An 18,142-nucleotide genomic window follows, 5' to 3' on the forward strand; every position below is an offset into this window, starting at 1 on the left:
TCCCTTTTGTTTAAATAAACCATACCGAAACCAAGTATATTTTGATTAGGAATCTATGATCCTTCCTTCTGATGTCATTCATCAAATGTTAATAATAAGTGAGAATTTTCCACTAAAATGCTTTCAAGGTCATGGAGGCAAAAAATGAATACATTCCTACAGCACAGGGACAAAGCATCATTTTCTATAGAAAGTTGGTAATGGAAATTTCTATCACATTTTTCCTCATCAAACTTAACAGCAGCATTAACTTTTCTTCTCTTCATCAAGCCATGTAAGGAACAACTTACTTCACTTTCAGGTCGTTTCTCTCCACTTAGGAGCTGGAAAATTTCGACACACTCAACAGAAATCTTTATATACCCTTCCACAACATCATACACATCTTCTCGTGGTAGCTTCTTGGCAGCAGACACAAACGCTTCCAAGCCTGAAAAAAAAGTTATGTTCAAACATTAACAAGGTCAGTCTTCTTAGAAACAATCACAGCCACCACTGCAACCTGCTTTCCCTATTCTGTGACCTTCCCCGATCCACCTACACTGCACAGAAGCTACTATGAATGCTATCAACTTAACTGTTTCTCTCCAAAATTCATGTTGAAACCCTAAACCCGGCCGGGCGCGGTGGCTCACGCCTGTAATCCCAGCACTTTGGGAGGCTAAGGCAGGCAGATCACCTGAGGTCAGGAGTTCAAGACCAGCCTGGCCAACATGGTGAAACCCCCTCTCTACTAAAAATACAAAAATTAGCCAGGTGTGGTGGCACATATCTGTAGTCCCAGCTACTTGGGAGGCTGAGGCAGAATTGTGTGAACTCAGGAGGCAGAGGTTACAGTGAGCCGAGATCGCGCCATTGCACCCCAGCCTAGGTGACAGAGCAAGACTCTGTCTCAGGAAAAAAAAAAAAAAAGAAAGAAAGAAACCCTAAGCCCTAAAAAGACAGTATTTGGAGATATAGTCTTTTAGGAGATAACTCAGGTTAAGTGAGTTCATGAGGGTGAGGTCCTGATCTAACAGGACTGGTGTCCTTAGAGGAGAAGGAGACATCAGAGAGCTCCCTCTCTGCATGTGGATAGAGGAAAGGCCATGTGAGGACACAGCAAGAGGGCAGTTGTCTGCAAGCCAGGACGTGCCCTTACCAGGATGTGACTATGCCAATGCCTTGATCGCGGACGTGGCCTTCAGAACTGTGAGGAAATAAATTCCTCTTGTTTAAGCCACCCAGTCTATGGTATTTTGTTATGGCTGCCCTAGTAGATTAATCCACAAGGACATTATGAACACACTTAGAAACCATGAAGGCAATAAGGAATGAGACAAACTGAGTGCCAATGTGACTCCCAGGTTTGACTACTGAGTCTGGCAATGACTCGTCTGGATCCCCATAGAGCTTTTGTTCCCTCAACTGTAGAATGGGTATAACAAGAAAAACCATATAGAGCATGGTAACGAAACATTACCAAGAGCTTTACTTACATGACATCAGCTAATTCTCACTGCAACCCTCCACCCTAGGTATGAGTATTTTTTTCCCTAGGTACTAGTATTTCACAGATGAGAAAACTGAGGCCCTTGTCCAAAGGTACACAGCTTAGGAGAGGTAGAGCCAGGACTCCAATCCAGGCAGTCGGGCTCCAGAGCCCATATTCTCCCTCCACGAACTGGATGATTCCTGCTCATGCAATGGAGCTGATGCCTGTTGCTCTGAGTGCACTGGCACACAGAGTGTCCGTGCTGCACCTGGCCCACAGTCAGTATGCCAAGCATCAGTTGACATCAGTGCTCTTTCAAAACCCAAAGGAGGGCACCCCACTAGAGTGTTTCCCCATAAGGCCACCCCAGAAGTTCCCCACTCAAAAATCTCCCCTCTCAACAGCCTGAGGATTCTACTACCCTTCCTGCAATTAATACAACCTCCCCTCCCCTACCACTGACACCTGAATCTGAACCCCCACCACAACCCCACCCTACCAACTGGGAGCCACCTGTGTGCCGCTGCCCACAGAATTCTCCTGCCAGAACCTGTTCTATAAAACTGCCTTTCAGAGAATCACTTGAACCTGCCTCTCGGAGAATCACTTGAATCCGGGAGGTGGAAGTTGCAGTGAGTCGAGATCGTGCCACTGCACTCTAGCCTGGCAACAGAGTGAGACTCCGTCTCAAAAACAAAACAAAACAAAAAAAACCCTGCCTCTCTCTGGTTCCACTCTTTGGGCCATACTTCTCAAAACTAGGAAGGCAGGGCATGGCAGTGGGTTGGAAGCCGCATGAGAGCGTAAGCTAAAGGTAACACATCTTACTGAGGCCTTCATCTCTTCTGGGGAGTGAAGACTTCACCTTATTCAAAAAAAAAAAAAAAAAAAGCAGAGGAAGGGACTAAATATTTCTATTAAAACCCACTTAGTAATGACCAATACAGTAAAATGTAAAATGCCACAAACTTTAAGAAATACACTACAGTCTTCATAGACACATCAGAATAGCGTGGTCTGCTTTAGGGAGTGTCTGGGCATCCCTAAGGGGTCCTTCCTTCTCTGCCTTGGGGCCACAGGCAATGGATCTAATCCTTCTTTCCCACACCAGCTGCCATCACCCTAGTCAGCACCTCTGAACACCAAACACTTCCTTTAACCTCTCTCCAGAAATGAGAGTTTCGAGATCCTTCTGTGTTCAGGTCACTCTCTATGTTCCCTTGAAGCATGAGGCCCAGAACAGGGCTTGGTACTGCAGGTGAGCTCCACTAGCTGAGCAGAGAGGACCAACACATGCTTCCTCTTGGACAGCAATTCTGCGTGTCTCAGATTCAAGTCCTGACGCTGCTAAGCCACATCTGCCGGGGACGCATGAGCACGCCATTACACCAAAAACATACCAGAAAAGAACAAAATTGGAGCCAGACTCCTGGGCACAAATCCCCGCTCAGTCACTTACTAGCTGCATGGTACTCAGTAAGGCACTGAACTCTGAGCTCTGGGTACCTCACCTGTATAACGGAACAAGAACAGAACCTACCTGACAGGGTTTGTATGAAGCGTAAAAAGGCTAATTTACACATAAAGCATCCAGCATCACACTTAGGTCAAGGTAAACCCTCAAAACATAAGCAGCCCCCCGGGTGTCCTCAGCAGCAGCAGTGAAAATCCAGTCACATTCGGCCTCTGCCAGCCTCACAGGTGTTTTCAGATCCCCTTTTATGCTGCAACATTTTCCGCAGCAACCACCGCCATTCCTTTAACAGTCACTGAGCAAGTGCATCTGCTATGCCAGGCGCTGCTCTGAGCTTCGGGGCCAGACTCCATTGCTGCCGTCTGCAGCGTGGTCTGGTGGTGATTATGAGCAGGCCATGGGTGTTCTGACCAAGGTGACTGTGAGTTACAGGAGCTCAGTCGGCACAGGCACCCTGGAGTTATGCATACCTACTCTGTCCCTCAAGAAAACACAGAATGCAAGTGATAGCAAGGGCTGTTAATACAGAAAGAGCAGTGCAACTACTCACTCTTTTTTAAGGAATTATTCGTCAAACTCTAGCATGTAACTCTGAGCATTCCAGAGTATTACAGGGTGGAAACTGCTGGCCTGTTATGTTTGCCGTCTTTACAGGTTCATCTTTCCATACACCATTTACTGGGCACCTACCAGGTGCACCTACAGGGGGTGCCCGAGACGTGCTGATGAGCAAATTAGAAATGGCCTCTACCCACATGGTCCTTACAATCTAATGATAGAGACCAATGTGAGTATTTATTAAGCACCTACCGCAATCACTTACATAGACACGTATAGCACCTGTAGTAAGTGCTATGAAGCAAACATCAAGAGTATAATGAGGACTGTACCTAGGGAACATGATCTAGATTAGAGGGTTGGGAAGGTTTCCTTTGAAGAAGTAATGCTGAACCTATTATTAATAATAGTAAACGTAAGTATTGAGGGGGCAGAGGGTGAGACCACATTCCAGGCCCCAAGGCTGGAGGGTACACTGGAGCCAGGTGAGTGGGGAGGGGTGACTGAGTGAGTGGGGGAGGGCAGCCTGAGATGAAGTCAAAGAAGCAGGCAGGGCTAGATGAAGCAATGGAAATGACTTTGGATTTTATCCTAAGGGCAGTGGGATACCACTGAAGGGTGTCATGAGAGGAGTGACATAATCAGATTTGGAGCTCTGAAGGATCATTTGACTGCTGCACACAGCACGGGCTGCAGGGAAGCAACAGCAAGAGAGACCAACTCTGGGCAACTCCAGCCACGGTCCCAGCAGGGACTGATGATGCCTGGACTAGAATGATGATGAAGGAAAGAGGGGGAGCAGACAGATTCCAGAAATTCTCAGGAGGAGAATCAACCACCAAGGCCAGGGGACAGACTGATGCAGACGGAGGGTTCTGGCAGGAACATCCAGCTAATCAGAATTACCACTTATGCAGTGGGGAAACCAGAAGCAATGTGGGGAGAAGGAGATCAAGAGTTTAACCATTAGTGTACTCTCTTACAGTATGGCCTTTTCTCTATCACCAGTGGAGTCGTGGGCAAACACTTTCAAAGGAACTGGCTTAGAGCCAAACCCTTCTTGATGGGGGATCTTCCCACAGGCTGACACTGATCCACTCTGGAATATCCTCAGTCCTTACCAATCTAACCTGGCAGCTCTTGTTCCTCCACTACACGAAGGGAGCATCATCAGAACCCTTCCCTCACATGCCTGGTGAAAACAAAGTCTCCTAACAGCCATCAACTTCACTTCCCTGATCTTCCAGCAATCCTATCATAGGTTATGAGAGCGTATAAAGAGGAAGAGAGGAGGAGAGAATCCAAGATACAGACCAGATTCAAACACAAGTTCAACACAGCCTCAAACAAGGGATCCACACTTTCACCCATTGACTCAGCTTTGCCCCATCTTTCAACTACTCACCTACACCCATGCCCTGTCAACCTGGGTCTCCTTCTGACATGTGTTCAAATGATGTAGCACCTGAATGTCATGAGGCTCTCTGTGCAAGACCATGAAATATAGATACTACATCTTTTTAACAATTAAACGTGCTCTTTCTTCTGCCAGTAAGGTTCCTGTCCCTGTCCCATCCTACAATCCTTTTGAAAAGCCACTTCCTCTGATGGCCAGTGATGATGAGCATTTTTTCATGTGTCTTTTGGCTGCATAAATGTCTTCTTTTGAGAAGTGTCTGTTCATATCCTTTGCCCACTTTTTGATGGGGTTTTTTTTTTTCTTGTAAATTTGTTTGAGTTCATTGTAGATTCTGGATATTAGCCCTTTGTCAGATGAGTAGATTGCAAAAATTTTCTCCCATTCTGTAGGTCGCCTGTTCACTCTGATGGTAGTTTCTTTTGCTGTGCACAAGCTCTTTAGTTTAATTAGATCCATCAGAGAAATGCAAATCAAAACCACAATGAGATACCATCTCACACCAATTAGAATGGCGATCATTAAAAAGTCAGGAAACAACAGGTGCTGGAGAGGATGTGGAGAAATGGGAACACTTTTACACTGTTGGTGGGACTGTAAACTAGTTCAACCATTGTGGAAGTCAGTGTGGCGATTCCTCAGGGATCTAGAACTAGAAATACCATTTGACCCAGTCATCCCATTACTGGGTATATACCCAAAGGATTATAAATCATACTGCTATCAAGACACATGCACACGTACGTTTACTGTGGCACTATTCACAATAGCAAAGACTTGGAACCAACCCAAATGTCCAACAATGATAGACTGGATTAAGACAATGTGGCACATATACACCATGGAATACTATGCAGCCATAAAAAACGATGAGTTCATGTCCTTTGTAGGGACATGGATGAAGCTGGAAACCATCATTCTCAGCAAACTATCGCAAGGACAAAAAACCAAACACCGCATGTTCTCACTCATAGGTGGGAACTGAACAATGAGAACACATGGACACAGGAAGGGGAACATCACACACCGGGGCCTGTTGTCGGGTCGGGGGGAGGGGGGAGGGACAGCATTAGGAGATATACCTAAGGTTAAATGACGAGTTAATGGGTGCAGGACACCAACATGGCACATGTATACATATGTAACAAAGGGGCACGTTGTGCACATGTACCCTAAAACTTAAAGTATGATTAAAAAAAAAAGAAAAGAAAAGCCACTTCCTCAGGGGAGCCTTCTTTGAGCTCCCAGATTAGATCCAAGGTCTGTTAAACACCCTCAGGCACCATGTACCTCTCCTTTGGAAAACTCGTGCTTGAAACTGTATGTATGTGATTTTACTGACCAATATCTGCCTGCCCCACTCGACTGTTTGTAAACCCCACAATGGCAGAGGCTTTTTGACATTTTTATTCATCACTTTATCTCTACCGTAGCAAATAATAGCCTCTAGTAATACTTAATGAATTCGGAAATAAATAACTCTATGCTAACTAAGTATCATCTTCCTAGCTGTGACTAGCAAGTACAGGTATAGGTATCAAAGTTTAAAAACAGGCCAGGTGTGGTGGCTCATACCTATACTCCCAGCCCTTTGAGAAGACAAGGTGGGAAGATTGCTTGAGACTGGGAGTTCGAGGGCAGCCTGGACAACATAGTGAGATTCCATCTCTACAAAAAGTAAAAAAAAAAAAAAAAACATAGCTGGGCATGGTGTTGTGCACCTACAATCTCAGCTACTTGGGAGGCTGAGGTGGGAGGACAGCTTAAGCCCAGAAGTTCAAGGCTGCAGTGAGCTATGATAGTGCCACTGCACTTCAGCCTGGGCAACAGAGCAAGACCCTGTCGTTTAAAAAAAAAAATGAGGACAAAAATTGGAAGTTGAAGATATTTTGGCCATTAATTTAATCGTTTATTTAACCTGGGAGAAAAACTGCCACTGTTTTATTTTAGAGCAATGCTTCCACATGGCAACACGTTCAATTGCGTTTTTCCCAAACCATGTTACTTTCCAAACGATTACAAGTAGTCGCGAAGGGTGGTCACACTTTACAAAAAGTGTAATTAAATTATAGAGTCGGCTACATCTCAGTCACTGGCCCATTCCTGGTCAACTGACAAGTAGCTGTGGTGGCTTCTAGTAGCTTGTTACAAGTCATCAAGTCAGTATGAGTGTTGGGGGATGGAAGCTATTGAAAACGGTGCTGACGGCCCAAGGAGTAGCAAACTGTCTCATGAACCGTCCTGAGCCGACTCAGTAAGGACTCAATAGAGAAGGACACTTCATTTACTTCCCTGACAACTGCAATAAAGAGGTTTTAGAGCTCGCTGAGGGATGCTGCCTGGGCAAGGGAAATAAATGTGTTGTAACATGAAACGGTCCCAATCAAGCAAGTCGGGGCCCTCTCGCTGTCGCCGACAGTCCAGAGCAAGGAAGTACACAGCAGTCCTGAACCTCAGTTTTCTGCAAACCAGAGGCTTGCCACTGAGCCTATGTGACCCGAAAGCTGCAGAAAGGAGAGGCTGTGCCCGGCACACGGAGGCCGCCTCGCCAGCCTGTGCTCCCGACCCTGCGCCTGCCGCCCCGGACTCACCTGGCCCGGGGCCCTGCGGGTCCTTCAGCTGAGCCTTGAACCGCACGCCCGTGAGCTCTTCTTTGCGGGCGCGCTTGGCTGCACCCGCGGAGGAAGCCGCGCCGTCCTGGCCGCCCGAGGCCTTCCTCTTGGGGACCCCCATGGCCGAGAGGGCGGAAGCGCGACGGAAACGACACACCTGAGGGGACCCGGCAGGAGCACTGGCACAGACAGCAGACACGCGCTTCAGGCCCACATGGCGCAGGAAGAGGCGGGGCTGGCGGAAGAGGCGGGGCTGGCGGAAGAGGCGGGGCTCGGGGAAAGGCCGGCGGAAGGGGCCGACCCGCGCGAGGCTGGGACCGGCGGAAGGGGCGTGGCCTGCAGAAGGGGCGGGGCGATAGGGATCCAGAGTCTTGGGGATCCAGAGTCTTGGGGCTCCATGTGAGTTTGCTGTACCGGTTGTCCCGGTCACGGCATGGGGCGAGCGGACACTCCACGACACCCCCCGCCCCCGGCTGCAGGGTTTGGGGTCCACCGGGGCGCATTTCTGATCCCAGTGGCTCTTCGGGTGCTCTTGGCCGGAAGAACTCCCAGACCTTTCACTCCTGGCCTGGCCGATCCACGAAGACTCGGGCCCCGGCGCGTCCAAGCAGCACAATGAGTAGTTCTTGACCCGAGGTCGCCCTGAAGGTGTCGCATGAAGAGCTTGCTTCACACACAACAGGATTCGATACTTTGCCAATTCAAGGCCCTGGTGGCTGGCCGGGAAGGTGGATTCGCCTTGGCTAGGTGCCAGGCAGGTCCGCCTGTGCGGGTGCCCCTGACTTCGACCCCTAGCTTATGTCACAGCCCGAACCAGATCGACTGGTCTGGTAGCAGCCTGTCACTCCAGACTGTCCTCCACCCCAGACTTCCGCAAACTGATGGGCTCTTTGCGCCGTGCAGGGTGGGAGGAGAAGACCAAACGAAGTAACGTCTGTAAAACCCCTTCCTGGACAGCGTAAGGCCTCCACATCTAAGTTCCTGTCATTAAAATGGAGACAGCAAAGCCGACCCTATCCAGTCCTTGGGACTGTTATGAACAGAAAATGATGCAATGTATGAAAAACTGCTTTGAGGAGAAAAACAACACAGTGTGTTTTTGGAAGATGTGATTGATTTGTAAACCGCATTAAATGCTCTGAAATAAAATGAAAGTAAAAATAAGTAAAAACAGGCTGGTACATATTTTAATACGACTTCATCGATACTTAGGTATGTGTCCAAATAAATCATGAACCAGCGCATTAGATAAGTAACTTGGTGATTACTGAAATTCTCCATCAGGTTGTCCTCTAGTCTAAGAAAATTGTGTTTCATATTCTGTAAGCAGATGTGTTTTGAACATCTGAGGATGTGGGCTTTTGTGGCCTGTTGGGGTCTCAGAGTTTCTAGTAGAAAAAGCACGTGTGTTGACGCTGAGCCTCTGTCCCGACAAGATGATTGTGCCTGTGGAGATGTCTATGTTGTAGGCAGGTCAGAGAGAGGGTGTCACCCCTAGCAGATATGAGCTAATGCAGCAATGTTAAGAGAGGGGAATATGCTCAAAAAGTCATCTGTAAAAGGCAACACTCATTAGTGAATACAGACTTAATTCTGACTGATTATCCACACTGGTCCTCTTCTTTGGTTAATCGCTAACCACCAACTTTGTTTTCTGCCATGGTGGTCCCAACCAAAAAGTTATCAGAAAGAGTTAGGAAACAGTCAAAAGCCCTGAGTTCAGTTTCTGCCTGTGTGACCTTGGGCAAATTACCATCCCTCTGTGCTGGTTTGCTTTACAAACAATTAAAGAGCATGAGGAACTTCCCAGGATTATCCAGCTAGTAACTGGTGGAGCCAGGACTCACCCAGTGTATCCTAGTCCCAAATTAAAAACAAAGAAACAGAAGTTGGCAGTGCCCATTTACAGCCTTAGCCAGAGATGTATGGATGGCAAGTGTGGCTCAGAAGTGCATTTGGATGTTTTAGACTAAGTTAATGCCATGAATCATTGATGCTGGGTTAACCCTTTGTTCAGATATGAGGCTCACCAACCTCTGGATAGTGACTTGTCTTTCCATATCAAAGCTTTGTATTATTTGCCTCCAGGAGCATTCTGGTTTGTTGCAGACTATGTGGTACTGCTCCTAGGACATTCTAAGCTGAGGAAAAAAGCCCGAGAGCTTTTGTACTTGTTCCCTCTCTTTGAAACTCTTTGCCCAGAGCTCAAGTGGCTCAGATGTGGACTTTTCCTGTACATACCTCACTCTCTGTCTCCCGACCTTTCTTGATTGGGCCTACTTTATAAAGACACTCACTAATTACATCTGAGGGCTCCACCCTCATGAGCTAGTCACCTCACAAAAGGCCTCCCACAACCAAATATCACACTTGGGATGGGGTTTCAACATAATGAATTTGAGGGGGACACAAACGTTCAAACCATAGCACTTTCCCAACATGAAGATGATTTTTCAGTTAAGTTCTAACAATCTTTTCAGAAACAGATAATTCTCACCTTGTGCCGTTAGTTCCACAAAATAAAAAATAAAGTATCCCAACATCTTTTACGAGGCTCATATAACCTTAAATACAGAACAAGCTAAGGATAACACAAAGTATGAAAATGATGAACTTATTTCAAGTATGGATATAAATGTGTGTAAATAGAATATTAGTTAACTGAATACAAAACAGCACTTGAAAAAAACACAAGAAATACAAGGAAAGAATATCTTGCTTATATAACTCACCACAATAATGGATTAAAGGAGAAAAATCCGTTATTATTTCAATAGATGGAAAAAGACATTTGAAAAGATACCTATTTATGATTTTTAAAATTCACATAAAACTAGGGATAGAAGGACTTTCCTTAACTTGGTAAAGACTATATACCAAAAACCTGCAGCAATTATCATGCACAATGGGAAAACTATATGAACTTGAATTATGACTGGGAACAATAGGAAAAACAGGGATGTCCACCATGCTACTATCTATTACGAGAGGTCGTGGCTAGTGAAATAAGGCAAGACAAAGAAATAAGAAATGAAACTGTAATCTAATTGGAAAATTCAATAGAAATGCAAGCTAAATAAGAATTTAGCAAGGTTGTCAGACATAAAATCAGTTACCAAAATTGGTAGCATTACCTCTACATTAGCAATAGCTAATTTAAATATGTAGGAGAAGCTGGGTGTGGTGGCTCATGCCTGTAATCCTAGCGCTTTGGGAGACTAAGGTGGGAGGAGCACTTGAGCTCGGGAGCAACATAGTAGGACCTCGTCTCTACAAAAAAAAAAAAAAAATTTAAGTAGCTGGTGTGGTGGTGCATATCTGTAGTCCCAGCTAGTCAGGATGCCAAGGTGTGAGGATTGCTTGAGCCCAGAAGACCGAGCCTGCAGTGAGCCAGATTGCTCCACTGCACTCCAGCCAGGGCAACAGAGGGAGACCCTGTCTCAAAAAATAAAATAAATATAAAACAAAAATAAATAAATATGTGGTAGAAAACAAAGCACCATTTAGAAAGAAAAAAACCCTACAAATTCTCAGAATTAAACTAAAAAGACTGCACAGCATCTTTAAGGACAACATTGTAAAATAATATTTGGTTAAATAAAGATACATACTATGTTCACGGAAGAATGTCTTCACATTGTAAAACTGCTAATTTTTCCTAAATTAAGCTGTAAACTATTACCATTCCAATAAAAATTAAATTCAGAAAACCATAATATATTCTTATGGAAAAAGAACAATCCAGGAATAGCTAAGTCAGCTTGACAAGACTAAAGGGGATCTTACCTTATGCATGAAGACGTATCTCAAAGTTGCAATGGTCAAATTAGAATGGCAGTGGCAAAAGAACAGACAAATAGGCTGGGCGCAGTGGCTCACACCTGTAATCCCAGCACTTTGGGAGGCCAAGGCGGGCAGATCACAAGGTCAAGAGATTGAGACCATCCTGGCCAACATGGTGAGACCCTGTCTCTACTAAAAAAAAAAAATTAGCTGGGCGTGGTGGTGCATGTCTGCAATCCCAGCTACTCGGGAGGCTGAGATAGGAGAATCACTTGAACCTGGGAGGCAGAGGTTGCAGTGAGCTGACATCGTGCCATTGCACTCCAGCCTGGGCGACGAGAGCGAAACTCCGTCTCAAAAAACAAACAAACAAAAAACAAAACAAAACAAACAAACAAAAAACAGACAAATAGCCTGGTGGAATGGAATACAGACTCCAAACAGATCTATGTAATGGAGGTACAGGTTAACAAATCTGAAACTTCTTTTTACATATCCTGGAATTGAAAAATAAGTAAATGGATAAAGGATGGTGGGAGCCAGGCTTCACACTGTTGGAAAAGGAAGTTACATATAAGCAAAAGGGTAAGGCTAGAACGGACCCTGTGATACTGGATTAGAGTTGGAAACACCAGCATGATCTCATGTTTAGTTTAACACAGGTAGAGATGGATTGGTACAGAAATAAGTATAAATACATATTCTACCTGGGTTTGTACACAAGCATATATTTCCTAGCTCTGTTCACTGGTAGGGCCTAGAAGCAGTCACACCCCAGAAGCAATGAGCACACTCAGTGCCCAGATCTTGGTTTCTAATACCATTATCAAATAAAAGGAACCAGGGTGGGTGTGGTGGTTTATGCCTGCAATCCCAATATCTTGGGAGGCCAAGGTAGGTGGATCACCTGAGGTCAGAAGTTCGAGACCAGCTTGGCCAACATGGCAAAACCCCCATCTCTATCAAAAATACAAAAATTAGCTGGGTGTGGTGTCATGCACCCGTAATCCCCGCTACTCAGGACACTGAGGCAGGAGAATTGCTTGAACCAGGGAGGCGGAGGTTGCAGTGAGCCAAGTTTGTGCCGCTGCACTCCAGCCTGGGTGACAGAGTGAGACTCCATCTCAAAAAAAAAAAAAAAAAAAAGAGAAAAGAAAAAAGAAAAAAAAACACACAATAAAAATATAAAAATAAAAAGAACCAGGACTCCTTAGAGAAATGGCTGATTCTAGGGCTGGGACAGGGAACACATAAGGTGAGTGTGGAGTATCTTGTAGTACCAGAAAGTAAGAAATGCTTCAAAAACAAAAGAATGGAGCTATGTCAAAGAGTCACAGGAACCAACTTGAAAGAACTCCCAATGGAACAGTTTCGGTGACAAAATGAATAATATAGCATTGGATTATAACCTAGGGTAAAAAGTAAATATATGTAAGTCTATACTGATATAAAAAATGATGATCACCAGGCATGATGGCTCATGCCTGTAATCCTAGCACCTTGGGAGGCTGAGACAGGAAGATCACTGGAGCCCAGGAGTTTGGGTCCATCCTGGGCAACAGTTTAGCAAGACCTCATCTCTAAAAGAAATAATAATAATAAAATAAAAATAAATTGATTGCTAAGTAAATAAATGGGGGAGAAGAGATAAATCTTCCTTACAAAAGTAATCCAAATAATACATGTAGATACTTCCTGCTTCCAGAGGTGGAGCTTAATTCAAATACTCCTCCCCACTTCCCTAGTGTAGGTTTAGTGACCTACTTTTAAATACTGGAATATGACGAGGGAAAAATGATAACTCTATAATAGAGAAGCATGGCAAACACTACCTTATCCAAGGGATCAAAGTTAATGTCATGTATAAATCATGTTACTGTGATGTACCCCTGAAGTGATGTGATGAAGATGCTTTGCCTCTGTATATCCTTCCCGAAACCCAAAATCCCAGCCCAATTGTGTGGAAAACATCAGAGAAACCTAAATTGAGGGACAGTCTAAAAAGTACATGAGCAGTACCCTTTAAAACTGTCGAGGTCATGAAAAGCAATGAAGAACTGAAACACGACCACAGACCAGATGTGATGGGAGACACAATGATAAAATGCACTGTGGTACCCTGGACTGGACCCTGGAGCAGAAAAAGGCCAGAAGGGGAAAAACTAGTACAGCGCAAATAAAATAAAGTCTGGCGTTTAGTTAATAGTAACGTCCCAATGCTGGTTGCTTAGTTAGCAAATGTACCCTACAACCGTGAGAAATGTAAAACATCAGATGAAACTGGCTGAGAGTGTATGGAATTTTTTTCAAATGTTCTGCAAATCTAGAATCATTTCAAAATAAAAAGTGTAGTCAAGGCCAGGCACAGTGGCTCACACCTGTAATCCCAGCACTTTGGGAGGCTGAGGTGGATGGATCACTTGAGGTCAGGAGTTCGAGACCAGCTCAGCCAACATGGTGAAACCTCGTCTCTACTAAAAGTACAAAAAGTACCTGGGCGTGGTGGTACATGCCTGTAACCCCAACTACTGGGGAGACTGAGACAGGAGGATCACTTGAACCCAGGAGGTGGAGGTTGCAGTGAGCCAAGATCGTGCCACTGCACTCCAGCCTGGGCAACAAAGTGAGACCCTGTCTCAAAAAAAAGAAAGAAGGAAGGAAGGAAAGAAGAAAAGAAAGAAAGAAAAAAAGAAAGAGAAAAGTGTAGTTAAAACAAAGACCTATGCATAGATAGGAACTTTTTATTTTTAATTTTGAAACAGCTTTATTAAGGTATAACTGATATGCAGTCTAATGGCACATATTTACTGTATATGATTTGATGAATTACCTCCTGGCTCCTGGTAACCACCATTCTATTCTCTGCTTCTATGAGTTTGACTATTTTAGGTACTGCTTATGAGTCCTGTCCTTCTGTAACTGGCTTCTTTCACTCAGCAGACACCCAGAATAATTGAAATAAGGTTATTGAAGGGATATTTGCACTCCCTGTTCATTGCAGCATTATTCATAATCGCCAATTTACAGAAGCAACCTAAATGCCTATCGACAAATCAATGGGTTAAAAAAAAATGCGGTATTTAGTATACAATGAAATATTATTCAGCCTTAAAAAAAAGAAGGAAATCTTGATATTTTTGACAACATAGATGAACCTGGAGACCATTATAGAAATGTGATATGTGATCAAGACAACACCAAAATCAGTGGGAGAAGGGTGGTGTGGTAGATTACAAAATATGGTCACAAATTCCTCCCACCCTGGAATTCATGCCCCTTTGCAATTTGACTTTGCAGTTCTCATTGGGAGGTTGGGACATTTCTTCCCCTGTTGGGGAGCAATTTGGAACCACAGATCTCCAGGGGTAGCTGACTGCCAGTGTCATGATACTGTCATTATCTCTTCATTTAACATCTCCTCTCAGAGTACTCCTGGCTTGCTAGTTTAAATTGTGAAAATTTTCTGCATTAGCCTCATTTTATTTACATTCTTTGGTCTTTACTGTTCATTACTATTTAAATGTGTTAACATTTAAATGACATCTATACTGTAATTTTCCTTTGTCACTATTGAAGTCACCCTGGACTGCTAATTGCAAACATAATCGTATTTTCAGAGAGGTTTATTTTAGGCAGATTGCCCCTTAAGTTGCAGGAAGATGGAAAGAATGGCAGGCAGATCACCAAGAATACTCTGAAGATGAAGATGAATAAAGTGGGTAAGAGTGACTGGGATGGGCAGGGAATGGCAGACCCCTGAATGAGTTAGGGAGTGATCGAGCTTGAATATTTGTGCCACCCAGATCTCATATTGAATTGTAATCCCCAATGCTGGAGGTGGGGCCTGATGGTGGGTGTTTGGGTCATCAGGGTAGATCCCTCATGGCTTGGTGCAGTCTTTGAGATAGTGAGTGATTGCTCGTGAAATCTGGTCATTTAAAAGTGTGTGGCACCTCCCACACCCCAGCTCTTGTTCCTGCTTCCACCAGGTGAGATGTCTTGTCCCTCTTTGCCTTTGGCCATGAGTAAAAGCTCCCTGCAGCCTCCCTAGAAGCAGATACTGGCACTATGCTTCCTGTACAGCCTGTAGAACCAGGAGCCAATTAAACTTCTTTTCTTATAAATAACCCACCCTCTGGTATTCTTTTAGAGCAATGCAAGAACAGCCTAACACACGGAGAAAAGCCAAGGCAACCGATAGGTAAGAAAGAGCCCTCTAAGCAGAAGCTATAGCCAATGCAAAAGCACTGAGGTGGGACAGCAAAAAGGCCAGTGTGTCTGAAATGGAGGGAGGGCGATCATGGTAAAAGTGAGGCCAGTTGGAGTGGCTCATGCAGAGCCTGGTTGGACAAGGTAAAGTCTCCGTAGCATTTGAATTGTCTGGATTTGCCATTCCCAAACTGGGCACCAAAGTGCCCAAAGCACCACATTGCCTTGGAATGTTTTCAAAAGTTGAGGGAAATCCATCAATTCTTGACATCTGTTCATTACCAGGCAAACTACTGGCTCAAGGTAGTTCATAGATTCAACATTAGATTGTGCTAGTTTCCAGCTGGGTGCAGTGGCACACGCCTATAATCGCAGCACTTTGGGAGGCTGAGGCTAGCAGATCACCTGAGGTCAGGAATTCAAGACCAGCCTGGCCAACATTGTGAAACCCCATCTCTACCAAAAAAACACAAAAATTAGCCAGGCGTGGTGGCAGGCACCTGTAATCCCAGCTACTCAGGAGGCCGAGGCAGGGAGAATTGCTTGAACCTGGGAGGCAGAGGTTGCAGTGAGCTGAGATCGTGCCATTGCACTCCAGCCTGGCAACAGAGTGAGACGCCATCTCAAAAAAAAAAAAAAAGATTGTGCTACTTTGGAAGAAGAGATGAAGAGATGAGTTCACAGCTTTGCAACGCTGGGTTTCCGGGGCTTACCATGATGAAAAGCATCAGCCAAGTGTGGCGGTGCCTGCCTGTAGTCCTAGCTACTTTGGAGGCAGAGGCAGGAGGATCACTTGAGCCCATGAGTTCGAGGTTGTAGTGAGCTTATCGAGACACTGTACTCTGGTCTGGGGAACAGAGGAAGAACCTCTCTCTAAAAAAAAAAAAAAAAAAAAAAAAAAAGAGCAAGCACCAAGCTGAAATCAACACGGGTCAAGAAATGATAGTGTGGTATCCAATCTGATTTCAAGGTTGAAGAAATAGTGACATGTCCAACGGGCACACACACCCCATTCGAAATTATCTGTGCTTATTTAAGAATAAAGGAGGACTGGCCATGGTGGCTCATGCCTCTAATCCCAGCACTTTGGGAGGCCAAGGCGGGCGGATAATCTGAGGTGAGGACAGTCAGCCTGGCCAACATGGTGAAAGCCCATCTCTACTAAAAATACGAAAGTTAGCTGGGAGTGGTGGCAAGCGCCTGTAGTCCCAGCTACTCGGGATGCTGAGGCAGGAGAATCGCTTGAACCCAGGAGGCGGGGGTTGCAGGGATCACACCATTGCACTCTAGCCTGGGAGACAGAGGGAGACTCTGTTTAAAAAAGAAAAAAGAAAGAATAAAAGAAAACATTTTTATTTCCATCATATGTATTTACGTATATATGTAAACTGCTTCTTTATTATTAGAACACAAATACTTATGTTGTTTGGACATAGCTATTTAATAAACTTAACAGTTTAGGTTTGGGTTTTGTCCTGGAGCACTTGAAAAATTATTGAGACACTAAAGGTGCCATGAACTGAGAAAGATTGAGAACTTCTGGTCTATACCTTTGATCAGAGCTCACTTTTATTAATTCTAAATTCCCTTTGCGGACTTTGATTCTTTTTTTTTTTTTTTTTTTTTTTTTTGGCAGCCTTAAGCTTTCCCTTGAGAATGAAAATTTAAAACTTGTAAATTTTTTGTACACCCATGTTCATAGCAGCATTACTCACAATAGCCAAAAGGTGGAAGCCATCCGTGTCCATCAATGGATGAATGGATACACAAAATGTGGTATATACGTACCATGGAGTATTTTTCAGTCTTAAAAAGGGATAAAATTCTCACAACCTTGAAAACATTATGCTAAGTGAAATAAGCTAGGCACAAAAGGACAAATACTGTATAATTCCACTTATATGAGGTACCCACGGTAGTCAAATTCATAGAGACAGAAAGTGAAGGCCGGGCACGGTGGCTCATGCCTGTAATCCCAGCACTTTGGGAGGCTGAGGCGGGTAGATCACCTCAGGTCGGGTGTTTGAGACCAGCCTGACCAACGTGGAAAAACCCCGTCTCTACTAAAAATACAAAATAAGCCGGGCATGGTGGCTCATGCGTGTAATCCCAGCTGCTCGGGAGGCTGAAGCAGGAGAATCGCTTGAACCTCGGAGGCGGAGGTTGTGGTGAGCCGAGATCACGCCATTGCACTCCAGCCTGGGCAACAAGAACAAAACTCTGTCTTAAAAAAAAAAGAAAAAACAAACAAGAAAGTGAAATGGTGGTTGTCAGGGGCTAGGAGAGAGGGGAATGGAGAGTTAGTGTTTAAATGGATGCAGTGACTCAATATTGGAAGATGAAGAGATCTGGAGATGGAAGTTGATGATGACTGCACAACAATGTGAACGTACTTAATGTTACTGAACTTTACAGTTAAGATGGCTAATATGGTAAAGTTCATGTTACGTATATTTCACCATAATAAAAATACATTTTTGAAATTCATGGACCACACTCATCACTCCTAAAACATAAATTAAGATTCCCACCTACAGAGGGCGCCATTGACAGTCCTAGTGGCATTCGGGGGTTGGGTGTGCAGGACCCACAACTGCCTGAAGCTCCAGCCTTCT

At 44.6% G+C, this 18,142-nt stretch overlaps 1 protein-coding gene and 1 long non-coding RNA gene across 2 annotated transcripts in view, besides 5 other annotated features; one reads left to right on the forward strand and one right to left on the reverse strand.

Annotated features, from left to right (window-relative positions):
* Positions 1-7,758, reverse strand: part of URB1 (URB1 ribosome biogenesis factor) — an 81,995-nt gene extending 74,237 nt beyond the window's left edge. The window contains exons 1-2 of the mRNA NM_014825.3: positions 7,515-7,758; positions 291-430 (exon numbers count right to left, since the gene is read on the reverse strand). Of these exons, the coding sequence (NP_055640.2) occupies positions 291-430; positions 7,515-7,656 (282 nt within the window). The 5' untranslated portion in view covers positions 7,657-7,758. The remainder of the gene's footprint in view (positions 1-290; positions 431-7,514) is intronic.
* Positions 7,024-7,806: an enhancer, noted in NCBI's record as "H3K27ac hESC enhancer chr21:33764587-33765369 (GRCh37/hg19 assembly coordinates)". NCBI's record gives its function as "activates a minimal SCP1, AML or CMV promoter by ChIP-STARR-seq in primed H9 embryonic stem cells {active_cell/tissue: H9 hESC(primed)}" and the evidence as "EXISTENCE:reporter gene assay evidence [ECO:0000049][PMID:30033119]".
* Positions 7,024-8,588: a biological region, named in NCBI's record as "H3K27ac hESC enhancers GRCh37_chr21:33764587-33765369 and GRCh37_chr21:33765370-33766151".
* Positions 7,666-7,960: an enhancer, noted in NCBI's record as "tiled region #9918; HepG2 Activating DNase matched - State 1:Tss, and K562 Activating DNase unmatched - State 1:Tss". NCBI's record gives its function as "activates a minimal TATA promoter and a strong SV40 promoter by Sharpr-MPRA in HepG2 and K562 cells {active_cell/tissue: HepG2 | K562}" and the evidence as "EXISTENCE:reporter gene assay evidence [ECO:0000049][PMID:27701403]".
* Positions 7,807-8,588: an enhancer, noted in NCBI's record as "H3K27ac hESC enhancer chr21:33765370-33766151 (GRCh37/hg19 assembly coordinates)". NCBI's record gives its function as "activates a minimal SCP1, AML or CMV promoter by ChIP-STARR-seq in primed H9 embryonic stem cells {active_cell/tissue: H9 hESC(primed)}" and the evidence as "EXISTENCE:reporter gene assay evidence [ECO:0000049][PMID:30033119]".
* On the forward strand, positions 7,879-8,706 carry URB1-AS1 (URB1 antisense RNA 1 (head to head)). The gene has a single exon (NR_026845.1). It is a non-coding gene; the product is annotated as a URB1 antisense RNA 1 (head to head) (long non-coding RNA).
* Positions 8,111-8,360: an enhancer, noted in NCBI's record as "active region_18362". NCBI's record gives its function as "activates an Ori minimal core promoter by ATAC-STARR-seq in GM12878 lymphoblastoid cells {active_cell/tissue: GM12878}" and the evidence as "EXISTENCE:reporter gene assay evidence [ECO:0000049][PMID:35858748]".
* Positions 8,707-18,142: the final 9,436 nt, after the last annotated feature.

The sequence above is a fragment of the Homo sapiens genome, chromosome 21, assembly GCF_000001405.40.
Source record: "Homo sapiens chromosome 21, GRCh38.p14 Primary Assembly".
Taxonomy (NCBI): domain Eukaryota; kingdom Metazoa; phylum Chordata; class Mammalia; order Primates; family Hominidae; genus Homo; species Homo sapiens.